A 26915-nucleotide genomic window follows, 5' to 3' on the forward strand; every position below is an offset into this window, starting at 1 on the left:
AATAGGGTTTTTTGGTCCTTTTTGTCAAGTATGATACATATAAAAATAATATTTTTGTGAATTAAAAATTCAAGAAATGGTATATCTGAACAAGCTGTCTGAATAGGAAATAGTTATAAGTATTGACTTAAGCATCCAATGTTTTCAATTTTAATTTAAATTTCTATGGCCTTAGATTTTCTTACATTTTTTCTCTCATAATTATTCTATAAGATTTTGTTTCTACCAAAATTTACTTGTAAAGAGCTGCATTCATTATGTATTGTTTATGGAAAAGTAAAGACACTAGTGAATAAATGTTGGTATCAAATAATATACAGTATTTTGTATACTTACATTCATCATTAATAAACTTCAAATGGATAATATATACTTACATTTAAATAGTAAAAATCTCTTTTATTAATATATAATTTTATACCTGAACACAAAATGATTTTAACAAAGAAGAATATATTTTAATATTTTATTTACTTATTCAAGACACATGCAATCCCTTTTATATTCCAGGCACTAAAATGTTATGAGTAAAGCTTTTCAGTAGTGGTGATTGTATTATTAAATGCCCTACTATACATTGTACTATATATAATTCTATTAATTGGGAAGTTAATAGTTGTAGATTATATTTACATAGCTTTGATTGAATTTGTGAATATTATTATATTGGATTAAAATATTTAGTCAATTTCCAGTCCTATAATCAGCACAGTGCCTAGTTCAAATGACAGAATATTGGTAAAACTATACTAGCACTCTTACTTTTGTTTGTTTAAAAACAAGCCCACATTTTAATGTTTATATGAATAGAATAAACTTTTGTTTTTATATGAAAAAGACTATATAGCTGTTTGATATCCGGACTTAATTTTCAGGTAGCAGTGATTTAGTTTTAAAAAGGGTATAAATAATACACTGAATACATATTACAGGGACATTTAATGAGATGTCAGAATACTTGGTTATTTGTCTTGGATTTACAAATCAATTTCTAAATAATTTTGAACTCTTCTCTCATTTATAAAATATTAAAGAAGAGAATGGAGTTATCTCCCCCAACTAGACAACCATATGAGCTCCAATCTAAGAACTTGACATTTTGAAATATATTCAATGTATTTCGCCTTCCTTGTTTGGTCATTTTTACTATAAAAAAAATTATACCAGTACAGTAGGTCATTAAGATGAATCTCATTGCTCCAAAGAATATAAATACTGTCATGATTAAAATGACATTACACAATTTAACCTTTGTTGTACAGCCTTTTAAGAAACTCACAAAAAAATAATAGCATTAGAGTAAAAGAGGTTTGACTACTAAGGTTAAAGAAAATTAATTTTGTTTTGAATTTAAGTTTTTTTAGGAGATCTCTGGCTCTAGGGAGGGTGAGAATATGTTATAAGAGTAATTTTTAAGATTTTTATTGCCTTAAACTTTCTTAGTATGTTATGGGTAGGAGGTGGGATATTTGAAGACACTAGAAGATACATAGAGAGTTTTAAGTGGAGCTTCATATAAGAATAATGTTTTATCTTTTTATTAATTCCAAAAGGGCTTTTGTGAGGAAAAAATCAAATACATTTAGATATATACATATATGTGGTGACTGTTCTAAATTGTTAAAATGGTTTATGACCAAGGTTTGGTTTGTCAAACCCATAATCCTGGGAAGAGAATAAAGACAATAAAAATTTCTGGTATGTATCTGCTATTTGATGGACCACTTAAACACTTATAGGAGGATTTGATTCAATTGTCATTTGCAATACATGTTTTCTGGATGTGTGAAAGTTTTCCTATGCAAGAAGGCTGATGTAATAATAGTAGCTAAAGTATTATTAGAAAATGTGTTTTCCTCATGAGATATTTATTGCAGCACAAGTCACAATTGCAAAGAGCTAAGCCATGAGTATGCAGGGTCATACAGGATGGTATAATGAAACTAGAGACTCAGAAGCGAGGAGGTTGGGAAAGGGATGAAGGAGGAAAAATTACCTATTAGGTACAATGTGTGTTATTCGGGTGATGGGTACACTAAAAATATAGACTTAACCACCGTACAATTCATCCATGTTAATCAAAACCCACTTTTACCCTAAAGCTGTTGACATTTGTAAAAAGTAAATACTTTTTTTAAGTAAATAGGATACAGGATAAGATATAGGTGAAGTTTCTCAAGAAAGTTTTATAATAGATATATTCAGGACCCCAGAGAAGGAGTCAGTAGGTAGACAGAGAGATATGAAGGGTTTATCAGTAGAGATTTACCTAGAATTCTTAGCAGTGTACTGGAGCTTAGAGCATGAGCCTTGCTCCCTGATGGATGAGATGTAATCCAAGAAGGCTCCCTCTGTTTTAGAAAAGTTTCATATTTCTCAATGTCCTGAAGAACCCAGGGCCTACCAGGTGGATTAGCAATGGCTGAGGTGGCACTTATAGGAATGGGCCTATAGATTTCTATTGCCTCATCATTTCCGGGAAAACAATGGCTATTTCTCTGGAGCCAGGAGAACATAGAAAAATCCAGATTTGGTCTTCTCATTTTCAAACAAGAGAGATCTGAAAACTCACAAACCCAAGGACAACATTGAGATTTTCTTCTAAATGGAATGTTTTCCTCTGTTTCCAGATGCCTTTCCACCTGAAAGGAAAAAGAAACGTGTGTTTGTTTGTGTATGTGTAGTTTTGCGTGTGTTTACTTTTTTAAGTTTCCTGGTTAGCTTTGAATACTGCATATTTTAAATATAGAATATTTCAAACTATTCTATAGCATTTTTATTTTTAAAAATTCTGTGTAAGAAAATATATCAAATGTGTTTTGGGCTACTTTCCAAGTTTTCCAAATTATTCTTTACCTCACTACTGATTTACACATTAATTTAATAATATTTTAAAAATCAATAAACAAAGCATTCTGTGTCCAAAAATATGTCTTTAATGTGATAAAAAATAAATGTGAAATAATATTTTATTGATATTAATTAAACTTCTTCTGGAGAAGCTAAACTCCATTAAATGATTTTAAACTGTTATTTTATACTCTAAAAATCTTTGTTTTATTGTGCTATGTTCTTAGAAAAACCTGGTGGTATGGACTTCCAGCTCAATAATTCACTGTAAAGGTATGTTTAATCAGCTGGTCAGCTCTTCAGTCATTTTTTAAAAATTTTTCAAAATCATGTATTTTCATTCTAAAACTACTGATGGTTCTTTTAAAATAACTGATTCATAGTTCATCATCACAATCTTCATCAGCATAACCACCATTAATGTCACTGTTACCATTGTTTTTGTTATTCCTCTGAAGTTCTTCCCAATCTTCTTAAGACTTTTTGTTTGCATTGTGAATACTAGTTCGCATGTTACTCATTCTTATTATTTTTAAGACAATAAATTAACTGATAATATTAATTATGCAGTTTTAATTATTTATCTATGGATAAATGCCCTTCATATCAAATTCTAGTAGTACCCAGGCTCTGAAACTATTTTGGTAGTATAAAAATAAAATCATATCTACTTTTTGTGTGTGACTCTTGGTAATTATATAAGTCCACTCAGGCTTCCATAACAGGATGCCAGACTGAGTGAGTTAACAGAAATTTGTTTTCTTACAATTCTGCATACTAGAAGTTCAAGGTCAAGGTGACAGCAGGATCAGTTTCCTGTGAAGACTCTCTTCCTGGCTTACAGATAGCTGCTTTCTCTCTGTGCCCTCCAGGCAGAAAGAGTGAGGAAGCTCTCTTCTGTCTCTTAGGAAGTCAATAATCCCATCATCAGGGTCCCACTATCATGACCTTATGTAAACCTAATTATCTCTCAAACACTCTATCTCTAAATGCCATAACATTTGGGACTAGGATATCTCCATATGAATTTGGGAGGATTCAATTTAGTCCAAAGCAGTAGAGTTTCTATTATTTTAGGTTCACATTTCATACACTTCCTTTTTATTTATTTACTTATTTTGCCTCAGAGAATCTTCCTTCTCTCTCTAGAAATATATCTGTATGAATGAATGAGGGTATTTCTCCACCTACTGAAGAGTAAAATGTTACAAGGAGAACACATTTTTTGTGTATTTTGCATTGTCACTTTGCAGCTTCTTCTTTACTCTTTCAATGGGAGGATGATATGTTGCCTTATATATATATATATAAATGCTAGATACATGATTTGGTTATTCTGTATAAAAACTGAATCGCTTCTATCCATACGCAGATATTTCTCCAATAGTAAAAATTTAACTGACTCAAAAAAAGTTTTAGCATCAAAGAGTCAATAATGTTAATTAAAAGCAGTTTATTTTAGTAATTTACAGGTATCTTCTCCAAGCTGTCTTTTTCTAAGAAAATAGTTAAAAGTATACTTCATTTGAAGAAAGGAATTACTTTCTTCTTTATAAATATCTTGACAATTACATAATTTATAAGTAGATATTGACTTTTCAAAATGAATATCAAAAATTATTGACTACAGTGTATATCTTTATCTAGGCATCTTGAGAAATAATTAACCCTGATACTCATAGAAAATTAAAATCAATAAATGCACGATTGTGTATTGCTAGGAACTCTAAGCATTAAAATGCAAGAAGCATTAATACTGCCATTTTATAAATTGCCTTGATGTTTCAAGGCTTTGCTTTGAGTCTTTGATTGTAAAGAGTAGCACCACTTAAAGTTATTTGGCCTATGTATGCATTATGCAATCTCTCATATTACAGTCATAATAAACAGTAGTAGGCAATGGGACAAACCAAAGCCCAATCTTCACTTAACTGAAAAGTATCATGATATGATTGGATTGTGTCCCCACCCAAATCTCATCTTGAATTGTAGCTCTCACAATTCCCATGTGTCATGGGATGGACCCAGCAGGAGGTAATTGAATCATGGGGGTGGGTCTTTCCTGTGCTGTTCTCATGATGGTGAATAATCCTCATGAGATCTGATGGTTTTAAAAAGGGGTGTTCTCTGCACAAACTCTCTCTCGCCTGCTGCCATGTAAGACATGTCTTGCTTCCCCTTCACCTTCCGCCATGTTTGTGAGGCCTCACCAGCCATGTGGAACTGTGAATTAATTAAACCTCTTTACTTTATAAATTACCCAGCCTTGGGTATGTCTTTATTAGCAGCGTGAAAATGAACTAATACAGTAAACTGGTACCAGTTGGGTGGGGTGCTGCTGTAAAGATACTGGAAAATGTGGAAGTGACTTTGGAACTGGGTAACAAGCAGAGGATGGAGCAGTTTGTAGGGCTCAGAAGAAGAAAGGAAAATGTGGGAAAGTTTGGAACTTCCTAAAGACTTGTTGACTGGCTTTGACCAAAATGCTGATAATGATATGGAAAATGAAATCCAGGCTGAGGTGGTCTCAGACGAAGATGAGGAACTTGTTGGGTACTGGAAAAAAAAGTGACTCTTGCTGTATTTTAGCAAACAGACTAGAGGCATTTTGCCCTTGCCCTAGAGATTTGTGGAACTGGAACTTTGAACTTGAGAGAGATGATGTAGGGTATTTGGCTGAATAAATTTTTAAACAGGAAAGCATTCAAGATGTGACTTAGGTTCTATTAACAGCATTGCGTTTTAAAAAAGGAAACAGAGCATAAATGTTTGGAAAATTGGCAGCCTGGTGATGCAATAGAAAAGAAGAGCCCGTTTTCTGAGGAGAAATTCAAGCCAGCTATAAGAATTTGCATAAGTAATGAGGAACCAAATGTTAATCACCAAGAAAATGGGGAAAATATCCCCAGGGCTTGTCAGAGATCTTTGCTGCAGCCCATCCCATCATAGGACCTGAGACCTAGAATACAAAAATTGTTTTGTGGGCGGGGCCCTGGGACCCCCTGCTGTGTGCAGCCTAGGAACTTGCCCTGCATCCCAGCCACTCTAGTCATGACTAAAAGGGGCCAACATTCAGCTTAGGCTGTTATTTCAGAGGGTGCAAGCCCCAAGCCTTGGCAGCTTCTATGTCGTGTTGAGTCTGCTGGTGCACAGTAGTCAAGAACTGGGGTTTGGGAACTTCCTCCTAGATTTCAGAGGATGTATGGAAACACCTGGATCTCCAGGCAGAAATTTGCTGCAGGGGCAGGGCCCTCATGGAGAGCTTCTATTAGGGCAGTGCAGGAGGGAAATATGGGATTGAAGCCCCCACAAAGGGTCCCCATTGGGGCACTGCCTAGTGGAGGTGTGACAAGAAAGCCATCATCCTCCAGAACCCAGAATAGTAGATCCACCAACAGCTTGCACCATGTACCTGAAAATGCTGCAGACACTCAATGCCAGCCCATGAAGGGAACCAGAAAGGAGGCTGTACCCTGCAAAGTCACAAAGGCAAAGCTACCCAAGACCATGGGAACCCACCTCTTGCATGAGCATGACCTGGATGTGAGACATGGAGTCAAAGGAGGTCAATTTGGAGCTTTAAGATTTGACTGCCCCGCTGGATTTTGGACTTGCATGGGGCCTATAGCCCCTTTGTTTTCATCAATTTCTCCTATTTGGAATGGCTGTATTTATCCAATGTCTGTAACCCCATTGTATCTAGGAAGTAACTAACTTGCTTTTGATTTCATGGGCTCATAGGTGGAAGGTACTTGCCCAGTCTCGAATGAGACTTTGGACTGTGAACTTTTGAGTTAATACTGAAATTAGTTAAGACTTTTGGGGACTGTTGGGAAGGCATGATTTGTTTTGAAATGTGAGGACATGAGATTTGGGAGGAACTGGGGTGGAATGATATGTTTTGGCTGTGTCCCCATCCAAATCTCATCTTGAATTGTAGCTCCCACAGTTCACATGTGTCATGGGAGGGATCTGGTGGGAGGTAATTTAATCGTGCAGCTGGGTCTTTCCCGTGCTGTTCTCATGATAGTGAATAAGTCTCACGAGATCTGATGGTTTTATAAGGGGAGTTCCCCTGCGCAAGCTCTCTTTTGCCTGCTGCCACATAAGATGTGTCTTACTTCCCTTTCACCTTCCACAATGATCTTGAGGCCTCCCCAGCCATTCAGAACTGTTGATCAATTAAACCTCTTTTCTTTATAAATTATCCAGTCTCAGGTATGTCTTTATTAGCAGCATGAGAGTGAACTAATACATATCATTTAATAACAAACAAATTACAATTGTCATGCACATTGTCTTAGTCCATTCAGGCTGCTCTAACAAGATACCATAAACTGGGTAGCTTATAAACAACAACAAAATATTTCTCACAATTCTGCAGCCTGGAAAGTCTAGATCATATGCTTCAGATGTGGCATTTGGTGAGGACACGCTTTCTGCTTCATAGTTCTTCCTGTGTCCTCACATAGTGAAAGAAAGCTACTTCCCACAATTCCCATGTGTTGTGGGGGGTACCTGGTGGGAGGTAATTGAATCATGGGGCTGGGTCTTTCCCGTGCTTTTCTTGTGATAGTGAATAAGTCTCATGAGATCTGATGCGGTATCTTTTATAAGAGTACTAATTCCAATCATGAGGGCTGTCTTACCAAAGGCCCCACGTCCAGCTACCATCACCTTAGGGGTTAGGATTCAACATAGAGATTTTGGAAGGACACAAACATTCATACTCAGAATATACCCCTAATTTTCATTTTATTTGAGGCTGTTTTTTTAAAATAATGGCCTTCTTATTATATTGGTAACACATTTTCATGAAATATTTTACTACTTTGTATAATGATGTGAGGTGACCTGGACTCTGATACTTGTCTTTCTTCTGTGACCTTGAACGTATAAACTCAACAATAACAAAAAATGATTAATTTATACCATCAAAAAACTGAAACTTATATTGCAGAAATACAAAGCAAAAGAAGAAACAGTCTTTGCATTCAAGGAGTTTACAATTCCCTTGGGGTAAACAAGAAAATAAGAAAAGCATAGAAGTTGTTATAACATAAGATAGACTGTGGCTCTGAAGAGATTTTTAAAAATTAGAGAACTAATATATGCCTTTGTAAAGATTTTTTAAAAATAAGAAACTAAAAGGAATGAATATTATAATAATGACGTAGTATTTGATGTGGACCTTGAAATTTGATTGAGGAAAAAGTCAAAGGATGAAAAAAGAGAGTGGAATTGGACAGCTCTGTAGTCGGCATAAAATATATGGGAAAATGTGGAAAAGTAAGAAACATGTTCAGAAAAATAAATAATCTCTATTATTCAGTGAGCAAATGTAGAGGAATAATAGTATACAAAGGAAGAAAAGCAGTTTAGCATCATATTGTAAAATAATTTAATTGCTAGAGGTTAACTAATTAAGCCAATAATTTATTATAAACTAGAATTCCAGATACCATATCAAATACTAGTAACACATACTTCACATTACAAGAAACACCATCTTTGGGGAATATATAATCTAGAAAGAAGGTAGAAATGCATGATATAATCCCACAAATATAGCTAAAACTACAGTTAGATGATTCTCCGAAGGCACAGTGCTAGAGAACGTGTAATAGGAATTCTAACTTCATCAGTAGGATCAAAGAACTTCCTAAAGAAAAAAGATTTGAGATGGATAGAAGTGAGAGTAGGACACAAGAATATTAGAATTAGGTGAAAGTGTTGTCCTGTTGCACGGGAGACAGGGAAAATAAGCCAGTCTCAGATATTATAGGAGCTTTTAACTTTGTTTTTTATTCTAAATATAATGAGGTATTACTTAAATGAATAATAGGAGAAAATGTATTATTATCAGAGGTTCATTTTAATTATAAAGCACTCACTCTCCAGTAAAGAGTTGGTTTGGACAAGAGAATTGGAGGTCAGCAAATTAAAATGCTTTACCACTAGACTAGTTGAGAACTAATGGTTGCTTCAAATAAGTGCTTTGGAGATAGATAGCTATGTAGTAATTTAAGAAGTACTTAAAATTAAAAATTGAAAGTACATATTGGATAACTAGAAATTAGAGAGACAGAGTATTCCAGGGTTCCTTTGTTCCCTAGTTGTGATATTTGGGGGCATGATGGTTCTTTTCATTGTGATAGGGAATCTGGACAAGACCAGAAAATAAAATCCTTTAAGGCAAGAGGACCATAAACTCAGCTTAATGTACCTCTGATGTTCCTTTGAAATAGACATTCAAGAAATATGTGGATTTTCAAAGTTAAAACAGTAAGCCTGGACTGAATATATAGAAAGGTATGCACAATCTGTTCACCAATAGTCATGGGAGTTGGAGCAGTCAATGAGCTTTGCTAGGAAGCAATACAAAAGAAAAGGGATCACCAAAATTTTGACTACGTAGTATAGATAAGGTCAAGAGGAATTCAAGAAAGAATAAATCGGAAAGTTAAGAGAAAGCCAAGAGTGTGATGTCACACAAACGTTTCAAGGAAGAGTCAACAAGGTCAATAAATGCTGAGACGTCAAGTAAGAGGATATTGACCACTGGCTTTTGAGATGGAGAAATCAATGAAGATCTTAGAAGTGCTATTTAAGAGAAGTGATAGGATACAAAACAGATTGTCCGGGGTTAAGGAGAGAGAGATAGGTGAGGAAATGAAGCCAGCATTTTTAGGAAACTATTCTGAGATGTGGTTTGAATAGGTAGGAGACAGGACTACAATTGCAGAAACATGTAATTGCAATGGAGGATTTTTAAAATTAGAATTTTGAATATATTCAATGGAAAAATACAGTTAAAAAGAAGTGAGATTATTTTCAGATGGTGACATAACATAAGCTATTTTTTGACAAAAAAAAGACAAACTAGAAAATTTCATTTTGTAAATTAATACAGCAGTAGAAAAATGTGACGGGCTAAACCGTTAGTGAAAAAATCAAGAACAAATGCACAGGCTGATGCAATCATGTATATGTGATAATTTTGGAATGCATGTGCATTGATGGCAGAGAGTGGAAACAGGAAAATAAGGAAACTGGTGTGATAATTTTTGGAAAAAAAGAGAGAATATATTGCAACTAGTAAATAATTTTACCTAAAAAATGGAGAGGCTTATGGTAAAGCAAAAGGTAATTACTTAATAGAGGAAATTTACATTATTTGAATGACAGTTAGTTACACTAAAAGTCCAGACTTCACCCCTACTCAATATATCCATGTAAAAAATGGCATTTGTGCCCCTTTTATTTATACAGAAAAGTACATAATCTTTAGTGTCTGAATGTAGATGAAGAAACAATCTACTGAGAGAATAGGTTATTTTTTTTCTTCACAGATTTGGTCAGTAACTGCAGTTAGGATTTCATCCTCACCCTCACTTCAACAAACCCGTTCTTATGAAGCTCATCAATAATCTCCACATTATTGAATCCAATGATCAGGTCCTCAACTCCACTTTGCTTGACCTGTTAGCAGAGTTTGGTACAAGTGATCAGTCCCCTCTTGAAATCGTTTCTCTGTCTGTCTTTAGAAAGACACACACTCCTGATTTTGTCCAATATATTAAAAGCCTTTACTGATTTCTTGACAAAAAGATGGTGAAGTCCAAGGCTCATTTCTTGATCATCTAAATTTTGCTGATTTCCTGTGTAATATTTGCTGTTAAAATGATTGATGTAATTTCTATAGGCTAGCAAGCCCTACATTTTTATCTCAATTCTGAACTCCTAAAATAGATCTTTAACATGATTTAACTTCTCTACTTGGGTATCAAATAGGATTCTTGGAATTAACATGACCCATACCTATTGTTTCATTGGAGTCATCTAATAAGAACCTGCTAATCTTACTTTCTCCCTTAAGCTAATGAGTTATCCACCCTTCTTGTTCTTCAAGCCATGATCTGGAAATCCTTAGTTGCTCTTCCTTTTTCTATTACACATCACATCTATTTCATCAGCCTGTGTTCTTGTCTCTTCAGAATATATTGTATATTTGATCAATTCTCACTGTTGCTACACTACAAAATCCCCTTCTTATTTCTCCTACACTTGATCTTCTTCAGACAGGAAGGTCTTCATGCTTTTCTTGGTATATACTGAACATGCTCTGACCTTAGAACCTTTGCACCTGCCAATCTCTGTGCCTGGAATACTCTTCTCTGTTATATCTGTGTACCTTGATCTCTCTTCTTTAACTCTATACACAAATATCATATTTGAAGCAAAACTCTAACTAAATATTATTATAAAATGATTTATGCACCACTCCCACATCTCCTGTAACTCTATCGTGCTTTTTAATTTTCCCCATGGTTGTGCACAATGCAATATGTGGTATATTAATATTTTTACTAGCTTATTATCTGTAATCTTTGGCTAGAACATTACTGTCCATTGTGACTTTCTGCATGATGAAAAGTTTGCAGAAAATATATCCCAGCCTCCCCACGAGACACTTAAGGATAAGTATAACTTAAAAAGTTCACTCAGGTAGCCTATGGTAGTACCAAGATTGGCACCATAGCCTCTATCTGTCTGGTGTACTCTCTCTCTCTCTCTGAGTGTCTCTCTGCATACCAAATGACAAATCAAAGCTTTCTAATCAGGCATTCAAGGCTGTGCATTAACCCTTCCCTAAATATATTGATGATTTAGACTCCCCGGCATAAAATTCTTAGGCTAGTTCGAATGTTTTCTACCTGGGTCTCAATGCTTCGTGGTTTACTAATTACATTTTGCTGCTAGCCATATCAATTAACTTGCAAAAGGCAAAGTCCTAGATGCATATTTTTTAATTGTGGGTATATGAAAATTACTTTATTGTACCTTCATATTCGATTTGTGACTTGGTAGATGCAGACGTGTACTTTAAAATGTTTAATTTGCCTTTGAAAATACTCACGTAATACTTAATGTTAAAGATGCCGATTTTTAGATTTTTACTTCCCCTGCTTTATTGCTTTTTTTTTTTTTTTTTTTTTTTTTTTTTGAGACGGAGTCTTGCTCTGTCTCCCAGGCTGGAGTGCAGTGGCGCAATCTCAGCTCACTGCAAGCTCCGCCTCTCGGGTTCACGCCATTCTCCTGCCTCAGCTTTCCGAGTAGCTGGGACTATAGGCGCCCGCCACCACGCCAAGCTAATTTTTTTGTATTTTTAGTAGAGACGGGGTTTCACTGTGTTAGCCAGGATGGTCTTGATCTCCTGACCTCATGATCTGCCCGCCTCGGCCTCCCAAAGTGCTGGGATTACAGGCGTGAGCCCCTGCGCCCGGCCGCTTTATTGCTTTCTGATTGGCTTTATTTTCAACTGTCTGTTTTTTTAAGCTTTCACAATCTTATTTAAACTTAAAAGAGCTTATTACTTAAATGTTGTTGCTCATAGGTATATTTCTGAAATATACTCAATTTCTCCTTGAAGGATGCTTCCTTCATTAGCTAATAAACCATCATGTTTCTATAGTTAATTTAAACTAATTTCTTGGGCAATTTGTCTAACGACACTGCCATTTTTTTCTTTTCTTTTTTTTTCTTTTTTTTTTTTTTTGAGACAATCTCACTCTGTCACCCAGACTAGAGTGCAGTGGCGTGATCTCGGCTCACCGCAAACTCCGATTCCCGGGTTCAAGCGATTCTCCTGCCTCAGCCTCCTCGGTAGCTGGGATTGCAGGCGTGTGCCACCACACCCGGCTAATTTTTGTATTTTTAATAGACATGGGGTTTCACCATGTTGGTCAAGCTGGCCTCGAACTCCTGACCTCGTGATCCGCCCACCTCGGCCTCCCAAAGTGCTGGGATTACAGGCGTAATCCACCGTGCCTGGCTGACACTATCACTTTTGCTAACTAACTTTTAAAAATTAATCAGTCAATTATAGGCAGGTAAAAAGAATCTGATACACATATATTTATATACATATGCAGCACACAAATATATCTATATCTCTATTTATAACCATATACATATACACAGCAAGAGTGAGAGAAAAAGGGAGAAAGGGATTTTAATTTTATATATACTTTTGGTTTTAGAATCTTTCAAACCATTTTGGAAGTCAAAAAAGTTTGAATAAAGGAATATGAGAGCCATAAATTTTGAATATCTATCTTTTCTCTTACTAGACTATATGCAATCTCTTTTATTGCTGTATTTTAGTATACTTGTTTGATTAGTCATTTTGTCGTAGTGCTTATGAATTGTGTTTATTGCAACTCTTCCTGTTATATCCGTTCCCTAATACAACTCTGTTTATGCAAATGAGACCTTTCTTTGCTATATCCCGTGGGTCTACCTTGAAATGTTCTCATCCTTTATATTATAATTGTCTCTCAATAATATCATTTTTTATGTTCCAGAGGGAAAGTCACCGACTCTGAAACTGTATTCTGGTTTGTGATTAATATTTTATTCCTTTGCCATATATCCATGAAAAAGAACTATGCAACTGTGGGAGAGTATATATATGTTATTTACTATAGCGCCCAAATTAAACATACACAGTCATAAAATATTTTGAAATTAGAAATAATATAATTATATGAGTTTTTGCTTTCTAGAGTCTCAGAACGTTTCTGGAATAGTAATTATTTTTATTACAAAAATCTATTTTATAGCTTTGCTTACAGGTTAAGCATATTTTGGAACTTGGCCATATTAGCAATTTTCCTTTCCTTTTCATCTTCAAAAAGTAGAATTAGTGAACTTTAATGATTTGCTAGCGTGCTACTGAAACATTTTGCTGTTTGCATTGCAAGAGATAAATTATATATTTGCAACAAGCTACTTAAATTGTATCATAAAATGCCTTGCTAAATCTTACATTTCTAAATGACTGTCCAGAAAATCTGCTCTGGTAATTTTCTATGTACCACTCGATTTCTTCTCTCTGCCCTGCAGTTGTGCCTGAAGTCTGTCATCAATGCACAGCATTATCCAAATCCCTTGCCTTCTGGCTTTCAGTGGAGAAAGGTAGTTCAGGTCCATGTTCTTCTTGCTCTCACCTGAGGAGTGAAGGTCTGGTAGCGGGAGAATTTCCCCAACTCCTTTCAGAAGCCCCCTCCCTCGGCTGCCTTTATTTTTCCAGCTGCATTAACAGCTCTTTCCCCATCCCTTTAGAATTGATATTGTAAGGGTTTCCTCTCCACAACTTCACCGTTACTAGTTCTGGCTAATTTACCATTTCTTGTTGGTTGCATTCAATTAACCTTTAAAGGTGTCAGAATCATGACTGTATAAAATCGCTGTCAATTTTCTCTATTCCAATAATGGCATAAAGGATAGGATTCACAATCTCTTCCCTTGAAGTAATTTCTAGGTTAAGTAGACTGACCAGAACCATGGAAGAATTGCTGAAGATCAAGTGATTTAACCTCCATAGACACTTAGATCAACTAACTTCAGCAGCAGAAAAGTAATACATAGTGATACATGATTAACATTGAGTGTAAAATATTGAGATTCTTGAAAAACATAACATTATTAAACTTATTTTTGAGAGCTCCAATTCCATTGTTCAAAATGAATCAATTATTTGTGTTAGAAGAGATAAGTCATTTCTAGTGATCTTGGCATGGCATGATAGATGTGTGAGTGTGTGTGTGTGAGCACATATATATTCATTTAATTAATTCTTAAATATACTATTCACTATTTTGCCAAGCAATATACCTAATATATAATGGTTTTAATTTGTATAAATTGAATATATATCTTATAGAGCATTAAAATTGGTAGTTTACCACTATATTCATTCTAAATCATTGTAGTTCAATTAGTGACATTTATTATGTCAAATATTATAAATTTTTAATGAATAAAATTTGCTGCACTGAAATGTATTTAATAATCTAATATAGTATCAACAAACTTAGAAGAAACATTTGAATTTGAGACTTGACTTCAATCATTTTAAAATAAATTATCTCATGACACTAGATATTTCAGTTTTCAAGGGTTTACTGTAATTTACTAATATCTTATCAAAAGTTAATTAGCATTAGCTAATACTAGTGAAAATAAACTTTCTGTCAACATACCTTCTGTCCTGTAAATTACAAGTTCCTGCTGGGCACAGTGGCTCAGGTCTGTAATCCCAGCAATTCAAGAGGCTGAGACTGGTAGATTGCTTGAAGCCAAGAGTTCGAGACTACCCTGAGCAATATAGCAAGACCCATTCTGAACAAAAACTTTTAAAAAATTAGCTGGGCGTGAAAGTATATGTCTGTGGTCCCAGCTACTAGGGAAGCTGAGGTGGGAAGATATCTTTAGTCCAGGATTTTGAGGTTATAGTGAGCTATGATTGTGCCACTGCACTCCAGCCTGGGTGACAAAGCAAAAGCCTGTCTCAAAAACAAAAAAGTTTCTGTTGTGCATAAAATACATTTAATATTTGTCATTCTTAAAATATTTTATTATATTGTGTCTTTAATATTCCAATTAACTAGATAATCCAAATAACATTTCTATTTATTTTTAAATATCGCATTTCAAAAAATAATTTATTAGTTATATGTTATATAAAGAGCTTCTATATTATAGATATGTAACCCTGTTACATACATATATTAAATTGTGTAAAGTATAGGATAATATAAGGCTAAAATTATAACACCATCTTGTTGTAACATGCATTGATGAAATACGTGATATAAATAGCTTAAAGAAATGGTGGTAATTGCAATATATGACTGCTAAGTAATTTTTACTAGGTGTAATTCTACATTAAATACAACTGTATTCTGATAATATAAAGATGCATGTTGCAATCAATACTAGATCAATAACTAAAAATTAATACAAATAATAATGCTAAATGTTAAATGTCAATGTAATCTAAATGGTATACTAAAATGTTGGCAAAATAAAAATAAGGCAGAGAAGGAGAAATGAAGAAATAAAAGTATGAGGTGAAACAAATATAAAACAGCAAAAATCAAGATTCTTCTGTATACCCTATCAGGATATGCACTTAAAATATAAAGACATGGATCCTCTAGCTTCCCTCTATGAGGTAGGAAGCTGGAAAGAGGCTCACACTCATCTTGCCACCCATAACATTTGGAAGTGATTTGCAAGATAATGGTTTTCCTTTAGACTATTAGAATTGAGTTTAAAGGGAAAAGATCAAGCCCAGAGTCCCAGGATACACCAAAAACTTTGTAAGAGAGGTGGGACACAAGAATATACCCATCTGTTACAGGGTACATGAGAGAGAAATGGCCATTTAAAAAATAATAATAATCTAAAGACAAAAACAGCGAATACTATTTCTCCCAGGGTAGCGATGAAGATTTGCTACTACAGAGATGGGGGGAGGTGGGGTGGGAATCCAACTATTTCCTAAAGGAAGGAAGAAAAATAATTTGAGCCCAGATCATTTAGAGATCTCTTATTATTTGAGGATAGGCAAAAATCACCAAGAAATTCCTCCTTTGAAACACAGAGCAAAGAGAAACTAAGAGAGGCTGACCAGCACAACAGAGAACATATGTAATTCCTATCATTACCAGATTAGCAAACCTTAAGTAATAAGAAATTGCATTATATGACAGAGGAAACACAAAAATTTAGAGAGAGACTCTAAGATACGGGAATACAGGGAAGGTATAAAGGTAATAGTAGAGCAAGAATATTGAGGAAACACCCACGGACAAACTAGTCCTCACTCTATGTACAAGGTAATGTTAGAAGAATTTGAGGGTAGTTTTGTACTGAAATTAATAATAGTGAGAAATAAAAATAAAATTCTAAGCCTCACAACTCACTGAACAGACTCCCTTTTGGGCAAAGGAACCCCAGAGAAACCTTGAAAACTGATTTCTCAGACATAACTGGATGGGAGGTAAAACATACCTCCTTATAACCCCTTCCACACTGATAGCCACTAGGCTTTCTAACAGAAACTAGCCCTTTCAAAAGACTTTACTGATAATATCAACCAACTGACTGGCAGCTGCCCCTGACTTTTAGGGTTTCAACAAAACAACTGATCAGCATTTCTTCTTGACAAGAGATCACTGACCACAGAGTAGTTCTGGCCAGTCTATGGAGATGCAGAGATGCAGAGATGGTTTTCATATCCCTGTTTCACCTTTTGATGTCACAGGGCAAAATCCACACCCTTGGATTATGCTAACACCATCATTTTTTTTTCACATGGGTCCCATGGGGGAGGCATGAAGCTCAATTGCATATGCACATGCTTCTCCTTTCAAATATTCGCGACTCCTCTTATAGCTGATTGAATATATGTTCCTGTCTTACTCCTCCCACCGTTGAATCATCTGTTTTTGGTTTCTGGCTGGAAGCTATGCTTCCCAGTCTGTTAGAAGGGCCATGTGGCAGGCTGCAGCCATTTATGAGAAATAAAACTCTTTTTTCTAAATTTATGAACCTTGTCATTCCTTAATTGACAATAGCAACAACAAGCTGAGGACCTAGATCAACTGCTGACTCAACTAACTGTGTCTCCCACAGTAACAGCATAGCAGAAGAAAAAGCATGCGTATTTCAAAGTACATATATTATTTACTACTGTTATTATCATCCTGTACACAATGTCCAGTATCTAACAAGAATTAAGAGAAACAATAAAAAACAATGTCAAAAGACAAAAATCAACATTACAAAGTTGGTTGGATGTTGGAAATATTAGACAGTAATTTAAAAATAAAAATAAAGTGAATAGTATGTTTAAAACTCAAGTGAAAAATTGACAGCAGGAATAAAAAAGGAGAATTTCAACAGAGAGATGGAAATTGAAAAAGAACTAAATATAGACAGTAGAAATCAAAAATACACTAAGAGAGGTGAATAATGTATTCAATGGGCTGAAGACAGCCAACAAGTGATTCAGTGTACCTGAAGACAGATTATTATAATTTACCCAAGTGAAATACAGGCAGGATAAGCAAATGAACAAGAAGAAAGCATCCAGGGATATGGCAAACTATCAAATGGCAAAACATACATGTAATTGGAAATCCAGAAGGGAAAGAGAAATATCTAATGGTGAGAATTTTCTGCAAATAATGAAATATGTCAAACCACAGATCCAAGCAGCTTAGAGAGCCATAAATATAATAAATACAAGGACCCTCTAAAATCAGAGATGAACACAATTTCTTGAAGGAAAAGAAAAATGTCATAATGAGAAAAAAAGATAAGCTCCAGTAAATTTTCTGTTTTTGCAAATCCGAAGCAATATATACGTCGGAAGACAATAGAGTGACATATTTAAAGCAATACAAGAAAAAAATGTCAGTCCTGTCAGTCCCATATTCTATACTCACTAAAAATACATATGATAAAGGACAAAAAAATACTCAGACAAGCAACAATTTTAATGAATTAATGATGAGTAAAAATGTGATACAAAAAGTATTTAGTCATTATTTAAGCTGGAGCAATATGCTATTGAACAAAATTTGAATCTATATAAATAATGAATGTCTCAAAATTGTTAGAATAATTATAAATGTTAAACAACTATCTTAGTCTTTTGTGGCTGCTATAATAAAATGCAATTATCTGGGTAGCTTATAAGCAACAGAAATTTAATTCACACAGTTCTGGAGCCTGGGTGGTCCAAGATTAAGATGCCAGCATTTTCTGGTTCTGATGAGAGTCACATTCCAAGTTGTAGACTGTGGTACTTCTTGCTGTTTCATCACAAGGTTGAAGGGGGCAGGGTATCTCTCAGGAGCCCCTTTTATAAAAACATTAATTCCATTTATGATGGCTTAGCCGTCATTACCTAATAGCTTTTCAAAGTACCCCTTTTGTAGCACTATTACTTTAGTGCTTAGGATTCAACATATGAATTTTGGAGGAACAGAATCATACAGACCATAGCAAATATCTTTATTTTTTTAATGTTAATCACTAAAAATAAATTACATCTAAGGTGAGGCTTTGCAAACCTTTTTATTAAAGGATGAGATAAATATGTTAGGTTTTAGTGTCCACATACGGAGAAATATATATGTGTATGTATGTGCCTCGTATATGCCTCACATATATTTATATTCATTTCTCCCCTTCTCGTTCCTCTTTCTCTTCTTCCTTTTCCGGGGTGGCTCCTTCTTTTTTCTATTCTTCTTCATCCTCTTTTTTCAATTCTTTAGATATGTAAAAAATGTACTTAGCACATTGAGCATACAAAGAAAATTAGATACTGTTGAATTTGTCCCATTGATGATAGATTGCATAGTTTATTTACACCTGTGTAAAGCAACAATCGTAATGCAGGATAGTTTTACAACATACGTAACAATGTGTGGCACAGATAGAATAAAAGATGTATAGCAGTAATTGAATATATAATTTCCTAAGATTCTGACAGTATGAGTGAAGTAGTATAATAAAAATGGAAGCTAGATTTATTAGCCAAAAATACATATATTGTAATCCCAAAAGTATATGCTAATAATTTTTTTAAATAAGTTAAAAGAATGCAGAGAAGATAAATCAGAAAAATTACTCAGTTGACCCAACTGAAGAAAGAAAACAAAAAAAAGTACAAGAAACAAAGTGAGAATAACAAAAAGAAAATAACTATCAAGATGGACTACTTAATCAAATCATATAAATAATGACATTAAATATAAATGACTTACAGGCAAATTTTTTTAAAGGAGCTTGTTACCTTGTCCTTTGCTGAAAGCTTTTAAGTATTGATTTCTTTCTTTAGTTAACAAAGGATTAGTCACGTTATATACTGTATATTGAATGAATTTTGGTCATTTATGTCTTTAACTTAAGGTATCCCTTTCAAATAGTTTCTATATTATACTTATGGGCATAAATGACATTCTTCGTGACATTCTATTTTTCTCTCCTTCAAGGTCTGTAGGATATGTAGTAATGTGTCCCTTTATTACACATCCTTTTGGGGGCAGCATGATAGAAATTTGTCATTTTTATTGATATTTTCAAAGAAGCAGCATTGGTTGCACTGATTTTTTTTCTTGTTCTCTTTAATTTTTTAAATTAATTTAGTCTCTTAACTTTATTGTTTCTATCATTTTCTTTGTTTGGGGCTTATTCTTTTTTTTTTTTACCTTTTCTATGGTGTTAACTTACATTTTTGAGACAGTTTTTTTTTTAATGCAAGCATTGAGTGATATTAAATTAGCTGGTTTAGCAACAAGATTATGTACACTGTGTTTTAATTGCCATTCAGTTCGTGATACATTCTAGTTTTCCATTTAACATTCTTTTTGATGACTGAGACTTATAAGTAAGTTGTCTGATTTTTATTTACTTGAGAAATTTTCATGAATTTTTCTGATATTAAGAACTAGTTACATGTATTAATGGTAAGAGAATATACTTTGACCACCTGATACAAAATCAGAAAGACAAATGAAAACTGAAGATCATTATTTCTCCTTATTTAAATATTAATTATTAAATATTATTAATATTAAAATTAATATTAATAAATTTAAATTAATAAATTAAATATTAAATACACTTATTAATTTAAATAAATTTAAATTAATAAAATTAACTATTAAAATTATTAAATGTTATTAAATATTAATGATAAATATTAAATATTAACTGTTTCACAAAATATCAAATGGAATCTGGCAAATGTAAAAATACTTTTGATTACGGCCAAGTTTTTATTTTTTAAATCTTAGGAAGCTATTATTTTTGGTTTTTATAATCAAAACACATGAAGTATTTCAGTATAAATCTTAAACATTTCTGCAAATATACATATTAAAGAGTAAAAAATATTGATGAAACAAATTAAGGTACACTTGAAATCAAGAGTTATACTGTGTTTATAATTCTAAAGATGTGAATTATTTCCAAATTTGACATAGATTCAATTTATTTTTATCAGATTTCTGTTCGGAGTTTTTGTTCAAATATGCCAGCTAATTCCAAAATGCGTATGCAAAAGGAGAGCAACTAGACTTGTTGAAACAATTTTGAAAAAGAACAAAGTTGGATTACACACTTCACCTAATTTTAAGCCTTATCATAAAGTGACAGTAGTCATAAGAGTGTGATGTTGGCAAAAGTTGTTTCAATATATGACTTGAACAGAATAGAGAATTCAGAAATAGCTCCAAACATATGTAGTCAAAAGAATTTTTACAAGGTGCAAAAGCAATTCATAAAATGAGGATAATTACTTTTAACAAATCATACTGAAACAAATAGTTATGCATATCTGCAAAAAAACCTTGACATATACCATTAATAATACATCAAAAATGTAAAGGAAAATGAATCAAAATAGATCTATCTGTTAAATGTTAAACTTTAAAATTCTAGGAAATAAACATAGAAAACCTGCACACGATGATGTATTGTGCCTTTAAAAATGAAAAACTTCTCTTCAAAATATAGGGCTAAAAATATAAAGTATAATTCACAGAAAATATAAATTTTAATCCACAGATAGGGAGATAATATTCAAAAATAAATAGATATAAAAGGATTTGTATCTATAATGTATCGAGAACTCTCAAACTCATTAACATTTTTAAAACACTATAAAAATGCCAAACATTTGAATAGGCACTTTGTCATATGCAAGATAATTAGACATTAGTGGAAATTAAAACCACAATGAGATAGCATTAAACACCTATTAGAGTTACTTTAAAAATATAGCATCGTGTGCTGGTGTATGTGGAGCAACTGAAAATCTCATATATTATTAATGGAAGTGAAAATGGTACAACTAGTTTGAAAAAAATACAGTTTAGCAGCTTCCTATATAAATAAAATCTTACCATATAATCCAATAATCCACATGACATATATACACACAGAAACAAAAAGCTTTGTTCAAAAAAACTTGCATATGATTGTTTGTGATGACTTTATTTATAAACACTCAAAACTGGAATCAATGAAAATTGCTTTAATGGGTGTTTGAATAAACAGACAGTATAGTATCTACAACAAAATAGTTCACTCTTCTGCAATAATATAGTATTTTGGAAAGAAAGAATTGATTCACACAACAGCATGGATGAATCTTATAAAATAAGAAGAGAGTAGATGTAAAGACTACATAATGTATGATCAATTAATATGATATTCTAGAAAAGGCAAATTTATCACTGCAGTAAATAGAATGTTCATTGGCAATCACTGGGCGAGATATATAAAATTGCCTAAAGGTTTGAGTTTGACGAAAGAACTATATAGCATGATTATGTTGGAGGCTTTATAAATGTATACATTTATCAAAATTTCTAGGATTGCAGATAAAACAATGAACTTTACTGTTTGTAAATAATACATCAATAAACCAAAAATAAATAGCTATACAAAATGATCTCAGGCAAGATATCAATGGGGGGGAAGATATATTATGAAAATAGTGAACAAAAACAAAAGTCAGAATGATTATATTAATATCAAATAAACTGCACTTTAAGCCAAAGTATTATTAATAAAAAATAAGTAGGGGTATATTATATTAAAAATGAAAAACACAGGGAAAATATGTGAAAGATTGTATAGCCTTAAAAGAGAGCTTGAAATATATGCAGAAAAACTTGACAGAATTGAATATAGAAATAGAAGTTTTTAATTTTTATTTGGAGAGCTTTATTCACTTCCATCAGGAAAAAATGAGAGAAGTTTGAAACAAAATCAGTAAAGATGTTTTATTAGCCATCCTACATGATTATGCCCAATGACCTCTGCCTCCTTGTATTTGAAACCTCTTTTAATCACTTTAACTATTTTACTAGAATTTGTCTGTCTGACAAGTAGCATATGTACAAATGATAGTATGTTACTTCAAACTGGAATCAACCCAAATGTTATTCAACTAGTGTATAATTATGAAAGACTGTAGTTTTGACATCTGTGTCTTTCCCTCTCCTCTTAAATCTTCCTCTGAGTGAAGCAAGCTGCCAAATGTTATTCAACTAGTGTATAATTATAAAAGACTGTAGTTTTGACATGTCTGTCTTTCTCTCTCTCCTCTTAAATCTCATGCTGTGGATGAAGCAAGTGGCTATACTGGATGCAACCTTACATAAAGTCACAAAAAGCAATGACAGTGACAATGTGTCAACAAGGATTTAAAAAGGAATAGAAAATTTGAATTAACCTAGATTAATTAAATAAATTGAGTTCATACTTAGATGTCCTTATATGATAAAATATCTGAGTCCAGAGGTCTTCACTGGTGAATTTTATCAAACATTAAGATAGAAATGATACCACATCCGTACAAACTATATAAGCCAGTAGAGAAAAGAGAAGTACTCGCTAAAGGAATTATTATTATAAAGGAATTATTATTTTAGTAGCAAGACTAGACAAATATATTACAGGAAATGAAGACTGCTATGTAATACCACTTATAAACATATGTAACAAATACCTGCCTTGCCCCATTTCAGTGCTCATGCACCCCTCCACATTGTCCCCCCACTGCCACCAGAGCATGTACACAGCATGAACCATGTTGCCCCTTCCCTGATTAAACACTTGTGTTAGAATGTCCACATTGGAGTGTTGTTGCCAACACACTTGGAACACCTCAGCCCCTCCAGCAAACCAGGTGCTTAACCTGAAATGGTCAGAGAACAAAGTTGTAGGCCCGGTACTAGCCCCCCAGGGATTGAGCATGCAGCTCGGGAGCGCTGAGCTGAAACTTGGCCTTCTGAAATCATCCAGAAATAAAGGGGGTTGACTGAACTGTCAACTCTTTTGACTCAGCTGTGTTACATTACAGTGAAACCCTCGAGGACATCAAAGAATAAAAATATTAAAACTCAATCGAAAGCCCAGAAATTTCAAGATTAAGGAAACATCAGCCCACACAGATGAGAAAGAACCAGTGCAAGAACTATGGCAACTCAAAAAGCCAGAGTGCATTCTTAACTCCAAATGACTACACTAGATCCCCAGCCATGGTTTTCAGCCAGGCTGAAATGGCTGAAATGATGGACATGGAATTCAGAATCTAGATAGCAATAAAGATCATTGAGATTCAGGAGAAAGTAAAAAACTAATCCAAGAAATCTAAGGAATCCAATACAATGATAGAAGAGCTCAAAAACGAAGTAACCATTTTAAGAAAGAACCAATTGATCCAATAGAGCTGAAAAACTCACTGCAACTATTTTATAATGCAATCAAAAATATTAACAGCACAATAGATCAAGCTGGGGAAAGTATCTCTGAGCTCAAGGCTGATTCTTCAAATCTACTAAGTCAGACAAGAATAAGGAGAAAAGAATAAAAAACAATGAACAGAAACTCTGAAAAACATGGGATTGTGTAAAGAGACCAAACCTATGAATCACTGGTGTCTCTGAGAGGGAGAGCAAGCAAATAGGAAAACTTGCTTGCAGATACTGTTCATGAAAATTTCCCCAACCTTGCTAGAGTGTTCATCATTCAAATTCAGAAAACTCTTGTGAAATACTGTACAAGACAACCATCCCCAAGATGTAGTCATCAGATTTTTCTTGATCATTTTGAAACAAAAAATACTAAAGGCAGCTTGAGAGAAGGGGCAGATCATGCACAGAGGAAACCCATAAGGCTACAGTGAACCTATCAGAAGAAATCTTACATGCCATAAGACATTGGGTGCCAATATTGAGCACTCTTAAAGAGAGAATTTCCAACAAGGAATTTCATATCCAGCCAAAGTAAGCTTCATAAGTGAAGGAGGAATACAATTCTTTTCAGACAAGCAAATTCTAAGGGAATTTGTTACCACCAGACCTGCCTTACAAGAAACCCTTAAGTGAGTGCTAAACTGGAAACAAAAGAGCATTACTGGCCACCACAAGAACACACTTAAGTACATAGACACTTAAAGCAACTACACAATCAAGGTTGCACAACAACCAGCTAAAAACATGCTGGCAGGATTAAATCCATGCATATCAATATTAAGTTTGAATGTAAACAGGCTACTTACCCCACCTAAAAGGCACAGAGTAGAAAATTGAATAAATAAGCAAGACCCAATTGTATGCTGTCTTCAAGAGAACGATCTCCCATTCAATGACACTGATAGGCTCAAAGTAAAGTGATGGAAAAAAATCTATCAAGCAAACAGAAAATGGAAAAGAGCAGAGGTTACTATTCTAATTTAAGACAAAATAGACTTTAAACCAACAATGATTAAAAAAGACAAAGAAGGGCATTACATAATGTTAAAGTGTTCAATTCAAAGGAAGGACTTAACTATCTTAAATATATATGCACCCAATACTGGAGCACCCAGATTCATAAAACGAGGTCTTAGAGACCTACAAAAACACTTAGATAATCACACAGTAAGAGTGGGAGACTTCAACATGCCACTGATAATATTAGATAGATCATTGAGGCAGAAAACTAGCAGATATATTTGGGACCTAAACTCAACACTTGACCCAGTGGACCTAAAAGACATCTAGAGAATGCACCAAACAACAAAATATACATTTTTCTCATCTGCACATGGCACATACTCTAAAATTGACCACAAGTTGACCATAAAACAATTCTCAACAACTTTCAAAGAAGCAAAATCATACCAGCCACAATCTTGGATTAAAGAGCGATATAAATAGAAAGCATTGCTAACATGATCTCTCAAAACTATGCAATTACATAGAAATTAAACAACCTTCTTCTAAATGAGTTTTGGGTAAACAATGCAATTAAGGCAAAAATAATGAAATTTTTGAAACTAATGAAAATAAAGATACAACATACCAGAATCTCTGGGACATAGCTAAAGCAGATACAATTTCATTGTTTACCCAAAACTCATTTAGGTGAAGGTTTTTTAATTTCCATGTAATTGCATAGTTTTGAGAGGCCATGTTAGTAATACTTTCTATTTATATTGCTCTGTAGTCCAAGATTGTGGCTGGTATGATTTCTGTTTTGTGAAAGTTAAGAGAAAAGCTTATAGTGCTAAACACACACATTTTCTAACTATACATTTCTTTTTATATATTTCTATAATATATATTAAATATATATATATATTTCTAACATGTGTATACATACATACATACAACAACCTCACATCACACCTAGAGAAACTAGAAATACAGGAGCAAGCCAACTCCAAAGCTAGCAAAACAGAAGAAAATAACCCAAAACATAGCTGAACTGAATGAAATTCAGTGAAACGAAAATTTGTTATTTGAAAGAATAAATAAGACTGATAGACTGCTAGCTAGAATAATAAGAAGAAGAAAAAAGAGGAAAGATCCAAATAATCACAATCAGAAATGACAAAGGAGACATTACCACCAACCCCACAGTAATATAAAACAACCCTCAGAGACTATTATGAACACTTCTATACACACAAACTAGAAAACTTAGAAGGGGATAAATTCCTTCAAACATACGATATCCCAAGTGTGAGCCAGGAAGAAATTGAAACCCCATGCTCATCAGTAATGAGTATGAAAATTGAATCAGTAATAAAAAGCCTACCAACCTGAAAAAAATTCCTGGACTAGACGATTCACAGCTAAATTCTACCCATTGTATAAAGAAGGGCTGGAACAATCCTACTGAAACAATTCCAAAAACAAATGAAGAGGAATAGGGACTTCTTCCTAACTTATTCTGAGGCCAGCATTATTCTTGTACCAAAATCTGGCAGAGACACAACAAAAAAGGAAAACTTCAGGCCAATATCTCTGATGAACACAGATGCAAAAAGCCTGAACAAAATACTTGCAAACCAAATGCAGCAGCACTACTAAAAACTAATCTATCATGATCAAATAGGCTTTATTCCTGGGATGCAAGTTTTGTTTAATATATGCAAATCAATAAATGTAATATATCACATAAAGAGAACTAAAAGCAAAAACCATAATATATCTTAATAGATGAGAAAAAGATTTTAGAGAAATTCAAACATTTCTTCATGTTAAAACCCTCAGCAAACAAGACATTGAAGGGACATACCTCTAAAAAATAAGAACCACCTGTGACAAATCCACAACCAATATCATACTGAATAAGGAATCCAATAAAATGAACTGAAACCACTCCCCTTGAGAACTAAAACATGACAAGAATGCCCACTG

The 26915-nt window shown here is 33.7% G+C and overlaps 2 long non-coding RNA genes across 2 annotated transcripts in view; one reads left to right on the forward strand and one right to left on the reverse strand.

The window, feature by feature from the left end:
• LINC02241 (long intergenic non-protein coding RNA 2241) overlaps positions 1 to 26915 on the forward strand; it is a 325854-nt gene that overhangs the window by 237141 nt on the left and 61798 nt on the right. The window lies entirely within an intron of this gene.
• Positions 734 to 26829, reverse strand: LOC105374673 (uncharacterized). The gene is made up of 3 exons (XR_925822.2): positions 26794 to 26829; positions 24788 to 24913; positions 734 to 2642 (listed from the first exon to the last, which is right to left on the reverse strand). It is a non-coding gene; the product is annotated as an uncharacterized LOC105374673 (long non-coding RNA).

The sequence above is a fragment of the Homo sapiens genome, chromosome 5 (assembly GCF_000001405.40).
Source record: "Homo sapiens chromosome 5, GRCh38.p14 Primary Assembly".
Taxonomy (NCBI): domain Eukaryota; kingdom Metazoa; phylum Chordata; class Mammalia; order Primates; family Hominidae; genus Homo; species Homo sapiens.